The sequence below is a fragment of the Homo sapiens genome, chromosome 19 (genome assembly GCF_000001405.40).
Source record: "Homo sapiens chromosome 19, GRCh38.p14 Primary Assembly".
Lineage (NCBI taxonomy): Eukaryota > Metazoa > Chordata > Mammalia > Primates > Hominidae > Homo > Homo sapiens.
Window position 1 is genome coordinate 19,375,192 of NC_000019.10, and position 18,477 is coordinate 19,393,668.

The window sequence follows — 18,477 nt, forward strand, 5'->3', positions numbered from 1 at the left end:
CCTTCCTGGTTAGGGAAGTCACTGTTTTGACTTAGAAGTCTTCTATACTTCAGGCGTCTAGTGTCTACCTAATACCTTTTGCCTCAGAAAAGGGTCTAATCCCACTTAATTACAAGAAGATTTGCTGTTAGGTTTTTGACCTAGAGATCTAAAAAGGCCTGGCTGAAAGAGTTCCTGAGCTCCATCTGGACTTAATTCCAGATTTTCTAGCCAACCAACACTAATAAAGCTATACTCTGCTCCCCACCTCTGTATAATTCAGGTGCTACCTGACTTTCTCTGGTGAAGCAGCAGGAGTATTTAGGCCAACCTGTTGGTTTGGCTGTGTCTGTTTCTCTCTGGAAATAGACAATGACTTTTTCTTTTTTTTTTCTTGTTTTTGAGACAGAGTCTCACTCTATCGCCCAGGCTGGAGTGTAATGGCACACTCTTGGCTCACTGCAACCTCTGCCTCCCAGGTTCAAGTGATTCTCCTGCCTCAGCCTCCTGAGTAGCTGGGATTACAGGCGCCTGCCACCGCTCCTGGCTAATTTTTGTTTTATTTATTTATTTATTTATTTATTTATTTATTTATTTACTGAGACGGAGTCTCGCTGTCTCCCAGGCTGGATGCAGTGGCTCAATCTTGGCTCACTGCAAGTTCCACCTTGCCAGGTTCACGCCATTCTCCTGCCTCAGCCTCCCAAGTAGCTGGGACTACAGGCGCCCGTAATTTTTGTATTTTTAGTAGAGACAGGGTTTCGCCATGTTGGCAGGCTGGTCTAGAAATCCTGACCTCAGGTGATGCGCCTGCTTCGGCCTCCCAAAGTGGAGGGATTACAGGCGTGAGCCACTGCTCCCAGAGAGTATCTCATTCTTAACAGTTCTTTAACTGTTATCAAAATATTGGTCTCAAAGTACTTTAAGGCACCGAAATGAGGCACACATAAACATATCATCAACACGCTGAAATGTCATGAAAAAAATTATACTGAGAGACGTATATAAAATAAGATTTTTTTTCTTTTCTTTTTTTTTTTTTGAGACAGAGTCTTGCTCTGTAGCCCAGGCTGGAGTGCAGTGGCGCAATCTCAGCTCACTGCAAGCTCCGCCTCTCCGGTTCGCACCATTCTCCTGCCTCAGCCTCTGGAGTAGCTGGGACTACAGGCCCCCGCCACCACGCTCTGCTAACTCTTTTTTTGTATTTTTAGTAGAGATGGGGTTTCACCGTGTTAGTCAGGATGGTCTCGATCTCCTGACCTCATGATCCGCCCGCCTCAGCCTCCCACAGTGCTGGGATTACAGGCGTGAGCCACCGCTCCCGACCCAAGATTATTTTTTTAAACTGAAAAAATGTATAGTAATTAGCCAATAAACCAGAATCTGTAACATTAGATATATATATATATATATATATATATATATATATATTTTTTTTTTTTTTTTTTTTTTTTTTTTTCCTGAGGCGGAGTTTTGCTCTGTTGCCAGGCTGCAGTGCAGTGGTGCGATCTCGGCTCACGGCAACCTCTGCCTCCTGGTTTCAAGTGATTCTCCTGCCTCAGCCTCCCAAGTAGCTGGGACTACAGGCACGCGCCAAGACCAGCTACTTTTTTTTTTTTTTGAGACGAAGTTTTGCGTTTTGCTCTTGTTGCCCAGGCTAGGAGTGCAATGGCGTGATCTCCGCTCATTGCAACCTCTGCCTCCCGGGTTCAAGCGATTCTCCTGCCTCAGCCTCCCGTGTAGCTGGGATTATAGGCAAGTGCCACCATGCCCGGCTAATTTTATATATATTTTTTTAATAGAGACAGGGTTTCTCCATGTTGGTCAGGCTGATCTTGAACTCCCGACCTCAGGTGATAGGCCCACCTCAGCCTCCCAAAGTGCTGGGATTACAAGCATGAGCCACCGTGCCCGGCCAATTTTTGTATTTTTAGTAGAGACAGTTTTCACTATGTTGGCCAGGATGGTCTCAATCTCTTGACCTAATGATCTGCCGGCCTCAGCCTCTCAAAGTGCTGGGGTTACAGGCGTAAGCCACCGCATCCTGCCTAGACACTGACTTTTTCAACACATTTTCCCTGGAAGAACCAAGACCAATTCTGATGGGCTTCCCAAAGGATGCAGGTTGTAATGGATTAACAGTTAACATATGTGAACCTGAAAGTGCTTGGCAAATCCAAATAAATATGTTTTCTTTTTTGGGGTATGGGGGGACAGGGTCTCACTCTGGCCAGGCTGGAGTGTAGTGGCACTATCATAGCTCACTGCAGCCTCAAATTCCTGGACTCACGTGATCTCCCTGCCTCAGCCTCCTGAATAGCTGAGACTACAGACATGCACCACCACGCCCAGCTAAATTTTTTATTTTTTGTGGAGACAAAGTCTCACCATGTTGCCCAGGCTGGTCTCGAACTCCCAGGCTCAAGCAATTTTAAAGTGCTAGGATTACAGGTGTGAGTAGCTGCACCCAGCCCCAAATGAATTATGCAGTCCAATAATCTTAGGGGGTAATGATGGAGGGCACCTTGCTTTGTGCACCTGAACCGCCACTGTCATTGACACCAGAGTGCTTTAGCTCTTCTGCTTATTACCCTTCCCACTGGTATTAATTAGCCATCATTCCTCATTGCCAGTGGGCACTGCTTCCTTTGTCCAAGGGTACAGCATCAACAGGAGGTCTCACAGGCTAGCACCAGGGAACCCTCACTTTTCTAGCTACCACTGAGGCTCCGCCTCCCTTGTCTCTTGTGGAGTGGCCTGGCTCCGTTCCCATTTCCCTATTTGGATGTGAATGTCACTTAGCCAGTTTGCCCACATGATTTCCCAGAGCCAGGAAGGGAAACGCCTTGGTGCAGAGATGCAATCACGGCTACCACCAAGGAAAAGAAGGCACATCCTTGGCGATTCTGTCACGTGGTATCTCTTTCTTCTTTCTTTCTTTTTTTTTTTTGTTGTTGTTGTTCTTGTAGGTTGTTTGGTCTGTTTGGTTTGTTTTTGAGAAGGAGTTTTGCTCTTGTCGCCCAGGCTGGAGTGCAATGGTGCGATCTCGGCTCACTGCAACCTCCTTCTCCCGGGTTCTAGTGATTCTCCTGCCTCAATCTCCTGAGTAGCTGGGATTACAGGTGCCTGCCACCACGCCCAGCTAATTTTTTGTTTGTTTTGAGACGGAGTCTGGGTCTGTCGCCCAAGCTGGAGTGCAGTGGCGCCATCTCGGCTCACTGCAAGCTCCGCCTCCTGGGTTCACCCCATTCTCCTGCCTCAGCCTCCTGAGTAGCTGGGACTACAGGCGCCCGACACCACGCCCGGCTAATTTTTTGTAGTTTTAGTAAAGACGGGGTTTCACTATGTTAGCCAGGATGGTCTCGATCTCCTGACCTTGTGATCCGCCCGCCTCGGCCTCCCAAAGTGCTAGGATTATAGGCATGAGCCACCGCGCCCGGCAGATGCCTGGCTAATTTTTGTATTTTTAGTGGAGATGGGGTTTCATCATGTTGGCCAGGCTGGTCTTGAGCTCCTGACCTCAGGTGATCCATCTGCCTCGGCCTCTCAAAGTGCTGGGATTACAGGCATGAGGCCCTGCACCCGGCCACTTACAGCTGAATCCTAAACTTGTATTGTCTGAATCTAAAATTGGGCCCATGTGCAGGAATGGTGACATGAAGGGAGGCGAGGTCTAAGCCCTGTTGAGTCCTTGTGCAAAGCGGAACCATATTAAGAACCTAAAACTTAATATGTTAATATGAGTGCAGTGGCTCACGCCTGTAATCCCAGCACTTTGGAAGGCCAAGGCAGGCGGATCACGAGGTCACGAGTTCAAGACTAGCTTGGCCAACATTGGGAAACCCCGTCTCTACTAAAAATACAAAAATTAGGTTCATGCCTGTAATCCCAGCTACTAAGGAGGCTGAGGCAAGAGAATCGTTTTAACCTGGGAAGCAGAGGCTGCAGTGAGCCGAGAGCACATGATTGCACTCCAGCCTGGGTGATAGTGAGAGACTGCGACTCAAAAAAACAAAAAGGTCGGGCGTGGTGGCTCACACCTGTAATCCCAGCACTTTGGGAGGCTGAGGCAGGCAGATCATGAGGTCAGGAGTTCAAGACCAGCCTGGCCAACATGATGAAACCTCATCTCTACTAAAAGTACAAAAAATTATCTGGGTGTGGTGGCGAGTGTCTGTAATCACAGCTACTCGGGAGGCTGAGGCAGAAGAATCGCTTGAACCTGGGAGGCAGAGGTTGCAGTGAGCTGAGATTGCGACATTGTACTCCAGCCTGGGCAACAAGAGCGAAACTCCGTCTCAAAAAAAAAAATAATAATAATAATTAGCCGGGTGTGGTGGCATGTGCCTGTAGTCCCAGCTGCTTGAGAGGCTGAGGCACGAGAATCGCCTGAACCTGGGAGACAGAGAATGCAGTGAGCTGAGACATGACACTGCACTCCAGCCTGGGCAACAGAATGATATTCTGTTTCCAAAAAAAAAAAAAAAAAAACAAATCAGAACATCAGTCTCTAAGGATTGCACTGAGAATTGTGAGCTCAAAGTGTCCACAGTGCCTGGTACACAGTAGAACACAGAAAATTTCAGTTTCATTCCAGTCTCTGGGATTCTTTCTGAGAGCAGGAATTTAACCTTATTCATTTAAGTAATCCCTCAGTGCTCTGCACATGACTTTACTTTATAGTTGTTGAATTGAACCAGGATCAAAGAGCAGCTCATTGTCCAGCCTCTTCACTTCATACATGAGAAACTGAGCAGCACAGAGGGCAACTGTAACTCATCCACATCCCACTTGTTTGTTTTTTTGTTTGTTTGTTTGTTTGTTTTTGATACGGAGTCTCTCTCTGTTGCCCAGGCTGGAGTGCAGGGGTGCGATCTTGGCTCACTGCAACCTCTGCCTCCCAGGTTCAAGCGATTCTCCTGCCTCAGCCTCCGGAGTAGCTGGGACTACAGGCATGTGCCAGGACGCCTGGCTAATTTTTTGTATTTTTAGTAGAGATGGGGTTTCACCATGTTAACCAGGACGGTCTCAATCTCCTAACCTCATGATCCGCCTGCCTCGGGCTCCCAAAGTTCTGAGATTACAGGCGTGAGCCACCACATCCGGCCATCCCACTTGTATTTTATGGCTGGATCTTTTTTTTTCCTGAGATGGAGTTTCACTCTTGTTGCCCACGCTGGAGTGCAATGGCGCGATCTCGGCTCACTAAAACCTCCAGGGTAGCTGGGATTCCCAGCTTCCCGAGTAGGTGGGATTACAGGCACATGCCACCACGTTTGGCTAATTTTGTATTTTTAGCAGAGACAGGGTTTCTCCATGTTAGTCAACCTGGTCTTGAATTCCCAACCTCAGGTGATCCGCCCGCCTCGGCTTCCTAAAGTGTTGGAATTACAGGCATGAGCCACCATGCCCAGCCTTTCTTTTTTTTCCTGAGACATAGTCTTGCTCTGTCGCCCAGAGCTGAAGTGCAATGATACGATATTGGCTCACTGCAACCTCCACCTCCCGGGTTCAAGCAATTCTCCTGCCTCAGCCTCCTGAGTAGCTGGGATTTTAGGTACCTGCACCATCCCCGTCTAATTTTTGTATTTTTAGTAGAGACGGGGTTTCACCTTGTTGGTCAGGCTGGTCTCAAACTCCTGACCTCAGGTGATCTACCCACCTCGGCCTCCCAAAGTGTCAGGATTACCGGTATGAGCCACCGTGCCTGGCCACTAATTTTATTTTATTTTTTTGTAGAGAGGGGGTCCCGGTATGTTGCCCAGGTGAGTCTCAAATTCCTGGGCTCAATTCTCCCACCCTGGCCTCCCAAAGTGGTACAATTGCAGGTATGAGCCCTGATTTCTTATATGGTAAAGACAGTAACTGGCCTCTCTAGGGACTGGCAGGTGTGGGTTCGACCCCAGCTCTGCCAACCACCAAAGTCCAAGTGTTTATTGTCCACCTGGACTGCCTCAGACACTTGCAGGATGTGGTAAGTACTATGACACAGGTGCACAGAAGGTGCTCTGGGAACAGCTTGTCTTCATGTTTACAATGGCTTCTTTCCCTAGCCAAGGACTCTATCAGCCTTGCCACTTGGGGACAGGTTGAGCTCGCTCAGGGAGTCAGGCCCCACAGGGCTCCCTGCCAACCTCCCATCATTGTGATTGAATTTATTCTTTATTTTTCTTCCAGGAACATCAGCGCACTTGTAACAATAATAATCATCTTTTCTACTGGGTATACTGTTTCATGGTTTACAAAGCACTTTCACATCCATTATCTCATTTAATCACTTCCTCCTCTACATTCCTACAACAGTTTCTTGGTACCTCTTCAGTATAATATTCTGCCTGGTATAACAAGCCTATTTCCCTTTACTGCATTTATTTTTACTCACAAGTTCCAGCATATAATTCAGGCATCTTTGCACCTTGGACACTTCTGTGTACAAAGTAAGCACAATAAAAGTTTGACATGCCAGTCACAGCAGCCTTCGACCACAGTACCAGCTACTTGGGAGGTTGAGGCAGGAGGATTGCTTGAGCTCAGGAGTTTGAGTCCAGCCTGGGCAACATAGCAAGACCCTGTCTCTTCGAAAAAGTTTGCCGGCTGGGCCTGCTGGCTCACGCCTGCAATCCGAGCACTTTGGGAGGTCGAGGTGGGCGGATCACTTGAGGTCAGAAGTTCAAGACCAGCCTGGCCAATATGGTGAAACCCCATCTCTACTAAAAATACAAAAAAATTAGCCGGGCATTGTGGTGTGTGCCTGTAATCCCAGCTACTCAGGAGGCTGAGGCAGGAGAATTGCTTGAACCTGGGAGGCGGAGGTTGCAGTGAGCCGAGATCGTGCCACTGCACTCCAGCCTGGGCAACAGAGAAAGACTCCATCTCAAATAAAAAAAAAAAGAAGTTTGCCATATTGAATCATCAGTGTTGCAGGTCTTTCTCATTCATTACTGCCATCTTCACTCCTTTCATTCAATGGGATTGCCTACTAAGGACAAAGCTGGGTTCTTTGGAGGGGAAATGAGGCAAGAAGTTCAGAATCAAGTGAAGGGGGAAGACACAAGTGAAGGCCCTGATCCCTGGTAGGCCACAGTACATGCTTCATGCTTTAGCAGCGGTGCAAACACAGTTGGGGCTGGGCACGGTGACTCACACCTGTAATTCTAGCGCATTGGAAGGTAATTCGGCCACACTGGGAGGCTGAGGCGGGAGAATTGCTTGATGCCAGGAGTTTGAGACCAGCCCAGGCAACAGAAGGAGACCTTCTGTTTTAAATTTTTTTTTTTTAATGTAAAAACTTAGGTTGCCAGGCGCGGCGGCTCACACCTGTAATCCTAGCACTTTGGGAAGCTGAGGGGGGCAGATCACGAGGTCAGGAGTCTGAGACCAGCCTGGCCAACATGGTGGAACCCCATCTCTACTAAAAATACAAAAATTACCCAGGCGTGGTGGCACGCGCCTGTAATCCCAGCTACTCAGGAGGCTGAAGCAGGAGAATCGCTTGAATCTGGGAGGCGGAGGTTGCAGTGAGCCAAGATCACCCCCCTGCACTCCAGCCTGGGCGACAGAGCAAGACTCCATCTCACAAGACAAAACAAAACAAAACAAACAAAAAAACCCCTAGGTCTTGTGGCATGCACTAGCGGTACCAGCTACTCAGGGGCTGAGTCAGGAGGATCACCTAAGCCCAAGGAATGGAGGTTCCATCATGATCTTGCCACTGTACTCCAGCCTGGGTGACAGAGCAAAATCCTGTCTCAAAGAACCAACAAACAAAAAGAAAAAAAAATACTCTTGCTTCCCAGAGTTTGGGGTGACTTTTTTTTTTTAAGACAGGGTCTCACTGTGTCACCTAGGCTGGAGTGCAGTGGTGCGATCATGGCTCACTGCAGCCTTGACCTCCCAGGCTCAGGTGATTCTTCAAGAGTTTGGGGTGACTGATTTTATCTGGGGGTGACTGTGAAGCAGGAATGCTTCTTGGAAGGATCTTACTCAGCAGAGAAGGAAACTGCAGGGCTGAAGAGGCAAACGGGACACATTTGGGAAGGGCCACAAATGTGTCCCTTGGGAAAAAGTGGACAGCTGCATGGAAAAATTCTCCTCAAAAAGAATAGGAGGCTGGGCGCGGTGGCTCACACCTGTAATTCTAGCACTTTGAGAGGCCGAGGCGGGTGGATCACTTGAGGTCAGGAGTTCAAGACCAGCCTGGCCAACATGGTGAAACCCTGTCTCTACTAAAAATACAAAAATTAGCTTGGTGTGGTGGCGCATGCCTGTAATCCGAGCTGCTCTGGAGGCTGAGGCAGGAGAATGGCTTGAACCTGGGAGGCGGAGATGGCAAGATAGTGCCACTGCACAACAGAGTGAGACTGTGTCAAAAAAAAAAAAAAAAAAAGGGAAAGGGGGCAAAATGGGCTGCTTTTCTTTCGTTTTCTTTTTTTTTTGAGAGGGAGTCTCCCTCTGTCGCCCAGGCTGGAGTGCAGTGGCGCCATCTCCGCTCACTGCAAGCTCCGCCTCCCGAGTTCACGCCATTCTCCTGCCTCAGCCTCCTGAGTAGCTTGGACTACAGGCGCCCGCCACCACACCTGGCTAATTTTTTGTATTTTTAGTAGAGACGGGGTTTCACTGTGTTAGCCAGGATGGTCTCGATCTTTTGGCCTCGTGATCCGCCCGCCTCAGCCTCCCAAAATGCTGGGATTACAGGCGTGAACCACCGCGCCCGGCCTGGGTTGCTTTTCTAAAAAGGTCTAACTCACCGCATTGTCCTAGGGCTGAGGCGTCAGAAAGTCGAAGTTTCAGGAAAAGGGGACCCCTTCCTCCCACACTCAGATGCTGCTTAGAAAAGCACATGGAGCACAACTCCCTCGCATTTTTCTTTTTCTTTCTTTCTTTTTGAGACGGAGTCTCACTGTCATCCAGGCTGGAGTGCAGTGGTGGATCTCGGCGCACTGCAACCTGCCTCCCAGGTTCAAGCGGTTCTCCTGCCTCAGCCTCCCGAGTAGCTGGGACTATAGGCGCCCACTACCACGCCCGGCTAATTTTTGTATTTTTAGTAAAGACAGGGTTTCACCATCTTGGCCAGACTGGTCTCGAACTCCTGACCTCAGGTGATCCGCCCACCTCGGCTTCCCAAAGTGCTGGGATACAAGCGTGAGCCACCGCGCCCGATAACTTTCTTTTTTCTTTTTTTTGAGACAGGGTCTCGCTCTGTCGCCCAGGCTGGAGTGCAGTGGCACGATCTTGGCTCACTGCAGCCTCGACCTCTCGGTTCAAACGATCCTCCCACCTCAGCCTCCGGAGTAGCTGGGACTACAGGTGTGCGCCACCACCCCTGCTGATTTTTTCATTTTGATTTTAATTTTTGTAGAGACAGGATTTTGCCATGTTGCCCAGGCTGGTCTGAAACTCCTGGGCTCAATCGACCCTCCAGTCTCAACCTTCCAAAGTGCTGGGATTCCAGGCGTGAGCCACCGCGCCCGGTCGCATTTCCTTAGTAAAGGGGTGAGGGGCGCCCATCTCCTGCCATCCTTCTCTGGAGAGAGGCGAGGTGCTTGAAGTCCCAAATTCCTCGTGTAGTGAGAAAACAGGGGAGGCAGAAAATCCCCAAGATATCTTCAGAAACGAAGGTGGAGGGGGGCGCGCAGCCCTCACTTTCCTCAGATAAAGGAGGGACAGGGAGAGCGGCCCCCAAGAGTGCTTAGAAAAGGAGTGTATGTGCCCCAAATATTCCTCGGAAAAGGCGGTGGACCCTGGATTCTCCAAATGCTCCTTAGGGATCCCGAACTCCCATGTTTTCTTAGGAAACAGAGCTGGGGTCCCGAATCTACAACATAATCGTGATCCCGGCAATTGTCCTCAGAAAACCGGGCAGGGCAAGAAACCCCCAAACTCTCTCAGAAGAGGGGTCGGGGCAAGATTTCCGAAGATCCTCCTCAGAACGGGGGCCAGGGAAAAGAATCCCGAAGCAGAGTCTTCTCAGAACCGGGGCGCGCGCCAGAATCTCCAAGATTCTCCTGGATAGAGAGGGTCGAAGCCACAAGACGAGGCAGAAAGAGCGCGCGGCCACCGGAGCCCCTTAGAAACACTGCCAGGCCACGAAGCGCCCGGGCTCCTCAGAGGCGCCGCTCGCAGCCCGTCGTAGCTGCCCCACGCCCGCCTGGCCAAGGCCGCCTCCGGTGCATTATGGGTGGGGAGCCCCTGCAGAGCACTGCGGGGAACCCCCTGCCCAGCCAGTTGCCGGCCGCCGGGTGGCCCAGGCGATCCGCCCTCCGGGGTCCCAGGGAGCCGGCCACGAATTGACTCGTCCCCCTAGGCCCCGCCCCTCGCGGGGTTCCCGCCCCGAAGTTTAAGTCCCGCCCCCGCATGGCCTTGAGTGGCTCTGCGGCCCGCTCCCATCTACCATTGGCAGGATGCCTGTCAGTCATTCCGTCCCGCCTCCTCGGACCCGCCCCGGCCGGCGGCGCGATCCCGAGAACCAGCCGGCCCGCGCACTCACTGGTCGTCATGCGCTGTCTGTCATGAAGCTGGCCACACCTTCCATGGGGTGCGGGTCCTGGGAGTCCTGGCTGGACCTCATTGGCTTGTGGCGCCTTCACTCGGAGAGACGCGCCTCAACCCGGAAGTGTGCGAGGCGAAATCTGCCTAGCAACCGGGGAAGCCGGGCTGTGAAGCGGGCAATTTCAGTGTGAGACTGAGCCGCGAGACTGAGCTGCGGCTCCGAGCGCTGCGCGGCGGCTCCTCCCGCCCAGGGTCAGCGCCCCGGCGCGCGCACGCGCACCCCCGCCGCCCGAGCGCGCCCCGCGCCGCCCGCGCAGTCGGTCGGTCGGTCGTCTGTCCTGTCGCCGCTGCCGCCGCCGCCACAGCGGCCGCCGCGGGCGCCACCTGAGGGAGTCGCCTCCGCGGGACGCCACAAGACCTGACCGGACTGCGCCGCCCGAGGCCGTCGGCCGCCGTCAGCGAGGGCGCCGAGCAACTTCGGTGAGTAAGGGGCAGGCGCCGCTGGCGGGTCCCCGGTTTCCGGTGCCCCAGGCTCTCTGGGGCTTCCGCTTCTCCCGCACTACCTTGGCCGAGTTTACTCCCTTCTCCACAGCACTTCCCCCTCAGGGGAGCCCCTGCTCTGGGCCCCCCCGCCTCTCCAGGGGACCCCCGCCTCTCTAGGAGACCCCGTCTCTCTTAGGGACCCTCGCCTCTCTTGGGGACACACCCGCCTCTCTAGGGGCCTCCCTCCTCTCCAGGAGACCCTTGCCTCTCTAGGGGACCCCGTCTCTCTTGGGGACCCCGTCTCTCCAGGCAGGGGATCCCATCTTTCTAGCGACCCCCACCTTTCTAGGGGACTTTCTTCCCATCTAGGGGACCCTTGCCTCTCTAGGGGACTCCCATCTCTCCAGGCAGGGGACCCCGCTTCTCTAGGGGAACGCTGCCTCTCTAGAGGATCCGTGCCTTTCTAGAGGATCCCCACCTCTCTAGGGGACCCCGTCTCTCTAGGGGACCTCGTCTCTAGGGAACCCCCGTCTCTCCGAGGGGAGCCCTGTCTCTCTAGGCGACCCTGCTTCTCTGAGGGGACAACCCCTCTTATCAGGGGCTCCCCCGCCTCTCTGAGGACCCCTGCCGGAGGGAACCCCCACCTCTCTGAGGAATCCTGCCTTTGACAGGAACTAACTCCCTTCTTTGGGGATCCCCAACTCTTTGAGAATTCCCGCTTATCTGAGGGGACTCCCTTCTTCACTGAGGGTCCCTCTACTTTTCTCAGGAACCCATCCTTTTGAGGGACCCCTGCCTCCCTAGAGACCCCTTCCTATCTGAGGACCCCCGCCTCTGAGGGGAGTCCCTTTCTCTGAGGGACCCCTGCCTCTTTGAGGGGAATCCCCATCTCTCTGAGAGACCCTCTGCCTCTCTGAGGGTCCCCCGCTTTCTTTGAGGGGCCCTGGCCTCTCTAAGACCCTATCCTCACTCCTCTAAGGAGAGACCCCTGATTCTATCAGGGTGTACTTTCTCTGAGGGATCCCCCACCTTTTGTGGACCCCTGGGGAACCCCTTCTTCCCCGGGGGACCCCTCTTTTCAGAAGACATTGCTGCTTCTCGGAGGAAGCCTTGCCTCTCTGTGGGGATCTCCCCACCCCCACCTCTCTCAGCTGTGGTCCTACTTTTCTGACTTGTCCCCCTTTCTTTTTTTTTTTGAGACAGAGTCTCATTCCGTCTCCCAGGCTGGAGTGCAGTGGTGCGATCTGGGCTCACTGTAACCTCTGCCTCCTGGGTTCAAGCGACTCTTCTGCCTCAGCTTCCTGAGTAGCTGGGACTACAGGCACCCACCACCATGCCTGGCTAATTTTTGTATTTTTGTAGAGAGGGGGTTTCATCATGTTGGCCAGGCTGGTCTCGAACTTCTGAGCTCAGGTGATCCACCCGCCTCGGCCTCCCACAGTGTTGGGATTACAGGTGTGAGCCACCGTGCCTGGCCCCCGCTTTTTGATGAGTGCCTTCACTTTCCTGAGGGGGTCCCCCACTTCTTTGAAATGCCCATCTGACTGGATCGTTAGTTTTCTGAGGTATACCCCTACTTTACCAGTATCCTTCTTTTCTATTTCTTCTGGGCCCCCAAATGCTCTATGGATCCTGCAGTTTTCTGAGGGGTCCCCAGTTTCTCCAGAGGTTTTCCCCTTAACTTGAGATATCCCACTCCTGTAGGCTCCTCACATCTCTGAAGTGTGTCTCCCCTTTTCCAAGATATCCCGTCTCCCGATGGGAGACACTGTGGATCTTCTTCACTTCCCTGAGGGGTCCCTCTGAATTCCGTGGGGTTGCCTCCCACTTGCCCTCTTTCTAGAGGCTTTCCTCTTGATTTTCTAAGGGAGAAACTCTTTATTTATCCTTGGAGCACTCACATCAAGCTTCTCCTCCTTTTTTTTTTTTTTGGAGATGGAGTTTCGCTCTTGTTGCCTAGGCTGGAGTGCAATGGTGTGATCTCTGGCTCACCGCAACCTCCGCCTCCTGGGTTCAAGCAATTCTCCTGCCTCAGCCTCCTGAGCAGCTGGGATTACAGGCATGTGCCACCACACCTGGCTAATTTTGTATTTTTAGTAGAGATGGGGTTTCTCCATGTGGGTCAGGGTGGTCTCGAACTCCCAACCTCAGGTGATCCGCCGGCCTCGGCCTCCCAAAGTGCTGGGATTACAGGCGTGAACCACCGCGCCCGGCCAAGCTTCTCCTCTTTCTGTCTGTGGCACCCACTTTCCCCCAACTGTGGAGGAAGAGAGCAGAAATGTACCCCTCCTTCAGTCTTTGTTGCCACTCTAGGGGTATTCTCTGGACTTTTATTTCGGTTTCCAGGAGCCTGGAGGATTTTGTGGCTGGAGGGGAAAGTCAAAAAGCATGATTTCCTCATGTCCCTCTAAGACCTGCTAGATTTGGGGGAGCAGGAGCTGCTACTAGATGACCACCTTAGTTACTCCATTTTCCAGCCGTGAGGCCATCACAGTGTTGTCAGGCCTTTGTGAAGACAAAAGGGACAAGGGAGAAACATTGTATCCCCATTATCACACTGTCAAGCTGTGGGAGTGACCCACTTCCTGTCCCATCCCTCAGTCCTCCCCCTGCATAGTATAACTTAACCTTCCCTCCCCGTGCTGAAAAAAAATCAAAATAAAAAGGAAAAGAAAACTCTCCTTCATCTCTTCCTGTTGCATTTTCTCTCCCGAGACCCCCTGATTCAATCCTTGATCAAATAGGATCCCTAGTTCGTAGGCCAGTTTGGTTTGAAAGACAGAGCAAGAAGCAGGAAATGGATCACCTTAGATCCAGAAACAGGGGAAGGGAGGCAAGGGACAGGATTTGACGACATTTCTGTAAGTTTTAGGTGACTTTGGCCTGGCCCAAAAGGAACTTTTTACGTGGCGTTTACAAATCTCATATGTACTTTTTTTAATGGCCCACCCTGGATTCCAAGTTCACTCCAGTAGCTAATTTTATCTGCTTTGCCAAATGCAGAGCTCTGTGGAGCCCAAGTAGATGAATGCTGGCATTGAGAGATGGTCCAAAGGACAGGAATGAACTCAGTTTGAAACCTGAGTAACTTGTAACCACTTCGTGTCCACGCACAAGTCTCAAGCTAAAAATGTGGGGAGAGTTTGACTGAAGTAGAGTTCTGAAGTATAGGCTGCGCTAGTGTTTGGTTTAGCATTTCAACAAGTTCTTCCCTCTGACTCCATTGGAACTGCAGTTCACTTTACAGTTTGACTGAGGGCAGTCTCTCTCCTGTTCATTTCCATCTGGGTCTTGCTTAATTTGAGTCCTTTGTGAAGACTCCTGCCGAGGCTATAATTTGAGTTCTAAATCTGTCGGTGGACCATGTGGACACAAGTTTCAACTCGAGCTATTTTCTTCTGGGGAGAAGTGCTTGGAGACTTTCCTGGGCCCTCTGCTGCTGGGCTAAGTCAAGTCCAGGCAGGAGGCTGCTGCAGACTTGGTTGCTCTTCTCCTGCCTCTTCCTGGTCAGCTGTAGGCACTGCCCTCAGGGGAAGGGAAAGTTGGAGGGGAGTTTGGGACTGAGATGAGGGTAGAGAAGTGCCTGAGGTGAGGGTAGAGAAGTGCCTGCACGTATTTACTATTTTATTTTATTTTTTTGAGACAGGGTCTCACTTTGTCACTCAGGCGGGAGTGCAGTGGTGCGATCTCGGCTCACTGCAACCTCTGCCCTACTGGCTCACGTGATCCTCCCACCTCAGCCTCTGAAGTAGCTGGGACCACAGGCGCATGCCACCACGCCCGGCTATATTTTTGTATTTTTGGTAGAGACGAGGTCTCACCATGTTGCCCAGGCTAGTCTCAAACTCCTGAGCTCAAGTGATCTGCCCGCCTCAGCCTCCCAAGGTGTTGGGATTACAGGCGTGAGCCACTGTGACCGACCTATTATTTTAAATAAAACCTATAGGACCAGCAGATGGGATGTTAAAAAGGGAATGGACAACTTTGAAGTCAGAAGGAGCCAGTTCAGATTCTGGTGCTGCCCTTCTTAGTTATGTGGCCTTGGACAAGTGATGGCACAAAATTGGCATGTTATTAAATATTCGAGGGAACACATTGCTGTGAATGTGTGTGTCAAGTTGCTTACTGATGATGGGAGGTGCTTACTAGATGGATGAATGAATGAATCCGAGATGATGAACTGGAGGTGGACAGCACAGCTCCTGGCACACAGTTGGTGTGCAGTAAAGGCTGCTTGTTGTATTCCTGGCCTGGACTCACAGACCAGGAAGCGCTTGATATTCTGCCAAGGCTAAAAATGCCCAAAGAGAAAGAAACTTGGTATGTCTCTTGGAAAACCCACTCCCCTACTGCGTCTCTTAGCAAGAGTTTTCTGTGTTCTGATACCAGATGTGAGATGGGTTTACTGTATGGCAGGGCATTTGTGTTTCTCTTGGCCTTGGTGTCTCCCCCTGTAAAATGGGGTAATTTGTGAATTAAGGGCAAGTAGGGAGATGTATTACTCTAATTAGACCACAGGCAAGATAGAAGATTATAATGGACTTGAAGAATTGTGGGAAGAAGAAAATAGATGAACTATGTACGCCTAAGGGATCACATGCGTATTATGAGACTGCTTGAGTGAGTGAGTCCAGCAGTTACCTGGTGAGTGATCTGTTCTTACACTTTAGAACCTTGAAAGAAGAGCCATTCTTTCATTGTAATAGATCAGATTTGGGGACAAAAGACTGGGAAAGTGATGTACAAAGCCATTTGACGCCACACAATAATAGTACTTTGAGAGGGCCAGTGTGTGGCTTAGTGCCCACGAGGAGATCAGAATGCACCTCAAGCTCCCAAGGCCCAGAGGGCTGTGGAGATGCTAACTCAGCTTAGAGGCTGGGGCAGGGGTCGGGGGGCAGTGGAATAGAGGGGAGTGGACAGGACATTTTACAAAATTTTTTTCTTGAGAGGATTTTTTTCTTAACAATTAGTAAAAGCCATAGAATCATGGCTGGTGAATTAGGCCCAGCCTTCTTCACTTACTAGTATGGGAATAGATGGCATTCTGCCCCTGACGGCTAAAACCCAGGAGGAAATAATGGGTGAAAATCTGAACTAGGCCCCTGGTGGGCTGCTCCTATGTTTGAAGAAAGGGTTGTGGGTTTTTTTGTTTGTTTTCTTCCTGGAAATATACCCTCTCTCTTCCTCCTTCCCTCCTTTCTTTCTCTCTTTCATGCACACATATATAGACACACACTGACTTTGGTATTGAAGCAAAGAAATATGCACCAATCTTAAATTTCTTTCAATTCTTTTAAGGACAGTTATTCCATTACATGGGAAAGGAGCAAAATTTATTATATTTAAAATATAAGAACTAAGGTAAACAACTTTAAAGGGATCACTCTCCCCTTTAAAATTATGCTATGTCTCTTGTGTACCACAGACTTCACTTTGGTGGATGGTGGGGCCACCACCAAGTCTCTATCTAACAGGAAGTTTTTTAAACTTGTTTTTTTTTACTTGAAGGATCCTTACAGCAATAAAAAACCTTGGATAGTTAGAAATGATATTGATCTAGGTACATTTATTAGATGTAATGTAATGTGGTTATCTGTTGGTGGGCAGGTCTAAAAGGCATGTGGGTCCAAACACTGCCCAGCTTCTAACTCTGGACGATAAAAACTGTTGATTTATGGAACTGAAATAGCTAGGGAAGTCAGGGTTTCCTTCCTGTTGGAGACAGCACTGGGGGCATTAAATCCCTGTGGGATCTTGATGATAAGAAATAAGCTGACCTCTTTTGGAATTGGGAAATAACTACTGTGTCAAGTGGTTCCATCCAAATGAATGGATGGTGTTATTTTTGATTTCTAGTTTTAAGTTTGACTTCATCCTCTCAGAAACTTGACTGCCTTTGTTTATACTGGTGTGTCTTTTGAATAAGAGTTTTTCCTTTTTTTTTTTTTTTTTTTTTTTGAGACAGAGTCTTGTGCTCTGTCACCCAGGCTGGAGTGCAGTGGTGCAATCACAGTTCACTGCAGCCTCGACTTCCGGGCTCAAGTGATCCTCCCACCTCAGCCTCTTGAGTAGCTGGGACTACAGGCATGCGCCACCATGCCCGGCTAATTTTGTATTTTTGTAGAGACAGGGTCTCGCTATGTTTCCCAGGCTGGTCTTGAACTCCTGAGTTCAAGTGATTCTCTCACTTTGGCCTCCCAAAGTGTTGGGATTATAGGTGTGTGCCTGGCCCAAGTTTATTGTGTGTGTGTTTTTTTTTTTTTTTCCAGACAGAGTCTCGCTCTGTCACCTAGGCTGGAGTGCAGTGGTGCGATCTTGGCTCACTGCAACCTCCACCTCCTGGGTTCAAGCAATTCTCTGTCTTAGCCACCCGAGTAGCTGGGATTACAGGCACCCACCACCATGCCTGGCTAATTTTTGTATTTTTAGTAGAGACGGGGTTTCACCATCTTGGCCAAGCTGGTCTCGAATCCCTGACCTCGTGATCCACCTGCCTCAGCCTCCCAAAGTGCTGGGATTAGAGGCGTGAGCCACTGCGTCCGGTCAAGTTTTTTTTTTTTTTTTTGAAACAGAGCAGAGTCTTGCTCTGTCACCCAGCCTGGAGTGTAGTGGCACAATCTTGGCTCACTGCAACCTCTGCCTCCTGGGTTCAAGCCATTCTTCTGCCTCAGCCTCCCCAGTAGCTAGGATTACAAGTGTGCACCACTGCGCTCAGCTGATTTTTGTATTTTTAGTAGAGACAGGGTTTCACCATGTTGGCCAGGCTGGTCTTGAACTCCTGACCTTATGAACTGCCTGCCTCGGACTGCCAAAGTGTTGGGATTACAGGCGTGAGCCACCGTGCCTGGCCAGTTTATTCTTTTAAATTGGCTTATAAGGGGCCAGGTGCGGTGGCTTACGCCTGTAACCCTAGCACTTTGGGAGGCTGAGGCAGGGGATCACTTGAGATCAGGAGTTTGAGACCAGCCTGGCCAAAATGGCAAAACCCTGTCTACTAAAAATCCAAAAATTAGCTGGGCGTGGTGGCACATGCCTGTAATCCCAGCTACTCGGGAGGCTGAGGCACAAGAATGGCTTGAACCTGAGTGAGAGGCAGAGTTTGCAGTGAGCTGAGGTCGGGCCACTGCACTCCAGCCTGAGTGACAGAGTGAGATTCCGTGTAAAAAAAAAAAAATTATAAGGGACAAGTGAACACTTAAGAGCTTTACTTGTGTGGCCATAAGATATGGTGTATGTGTGTTTTCTAGTGCAATTTACATTACATTAAAAATTAGAAAGTGTTAAATCTTCTGGCCCATGTAACTTCCTATGCGAACAAATAATTCAGGAACAAACACTTTCATGCCTAAGATAAAACATTTTCATGCTTGGTGATGGGGGTCTGGCAGTGAGCAGGACTGACACAGCTGGCCTTCCAGAAGCTTACATCTTAGTTGCAGACAAATAAACAAGCAAATGAATGAAAGAACATTGTGAGGTTTCTTGAGAATATCCCTAAGTGCTGCAGCTACCCTCATTGGGAGC

The 18,477-nt window shown here is 50.4% G+C and overlaps 1 protein-coding gene and 1 long non-coding RNA gene across 29 annotated transcripts in view, besides 3 other annotated features; one reads left to right on the plus strand and one right to left on the minus strand.

Annotated features, from left to right (window-relative positions):
- LOC124904656 (uncharacterized) overlaps positions 1-10,946 on the minus strand; it is a 27,427-nt gene extending 16,481 nt beyond the window's left edge. The window contains exon 1 of the long non-coding RNA XR_007067163.1: positions 10,466-10,946. This is a non-coding gene — a long non-coding RNA (uncharacterized LOC124904656). The remainder of the gene's footprint in view (positions 1-10,465) is intronic.
- Positions 3,171-3,816: an enhancer, noted in NCBI's record as "H3K27ac-H3K4me1 hESC enhancer chr19:19489171-19489816 (GRCh37/hg19 assembly coordinates)". NCBI's record gives its function as "activates a minimal SCP1, AML or CMV promoter by ChIP-STARR-seq in naive H9 embryonic stem cells {active_cell/tissue: H9 hESC(naive)}" and the evidence as "EXISTENCE:reporter gene assay evidence [ECO:0000049][PMID:30033119]".
- Positions 10,056-10,395: a silencer, noted in NCBI's record as "silent region_10439". NCBI's record gives its function as "represses an Ori minimal core promoter by ATAC-STARR-seq in GM12878 lymphoblastoid cells {active_cell/tissue: GM12878}" and the evidence as "EXISTENCE:reporter gene assay evidence [ECO:0000049][PMID:35858748]".
- GATAD2A (GATA zinc finger domain containing 2A) overlaps positions 10,652-18,477 on the plus strand; it is a 123,090-nt gene continuing 115,264 nt past the window's right edge. For all 28 annotated transcript variants that reach the window (NR_169268.1, NM_001384514.1, NM_001384512.1 and 25 more), the window contains exon 1: positions 10,652-10,947. The gene's annotated coding sequence lies outside the window, so the exon portion shown is untranslated. The remainder of the gene's footprint in view (positions 10,948-18,477) is intronic.
- Positions 10,736-10,875: a silencer, noted in NCBI's record as "silent region_10440". NCBI's record gives its function as "represses an Ori minimal core promoter by ATAC-STARR-seq in GM12878 lymphoblastoid cells {active_cell/tissue: GM12878}" and the evidence as "EXISTENCE:reporter gene assay evidence [ECO:0000049][PMID:35858748]".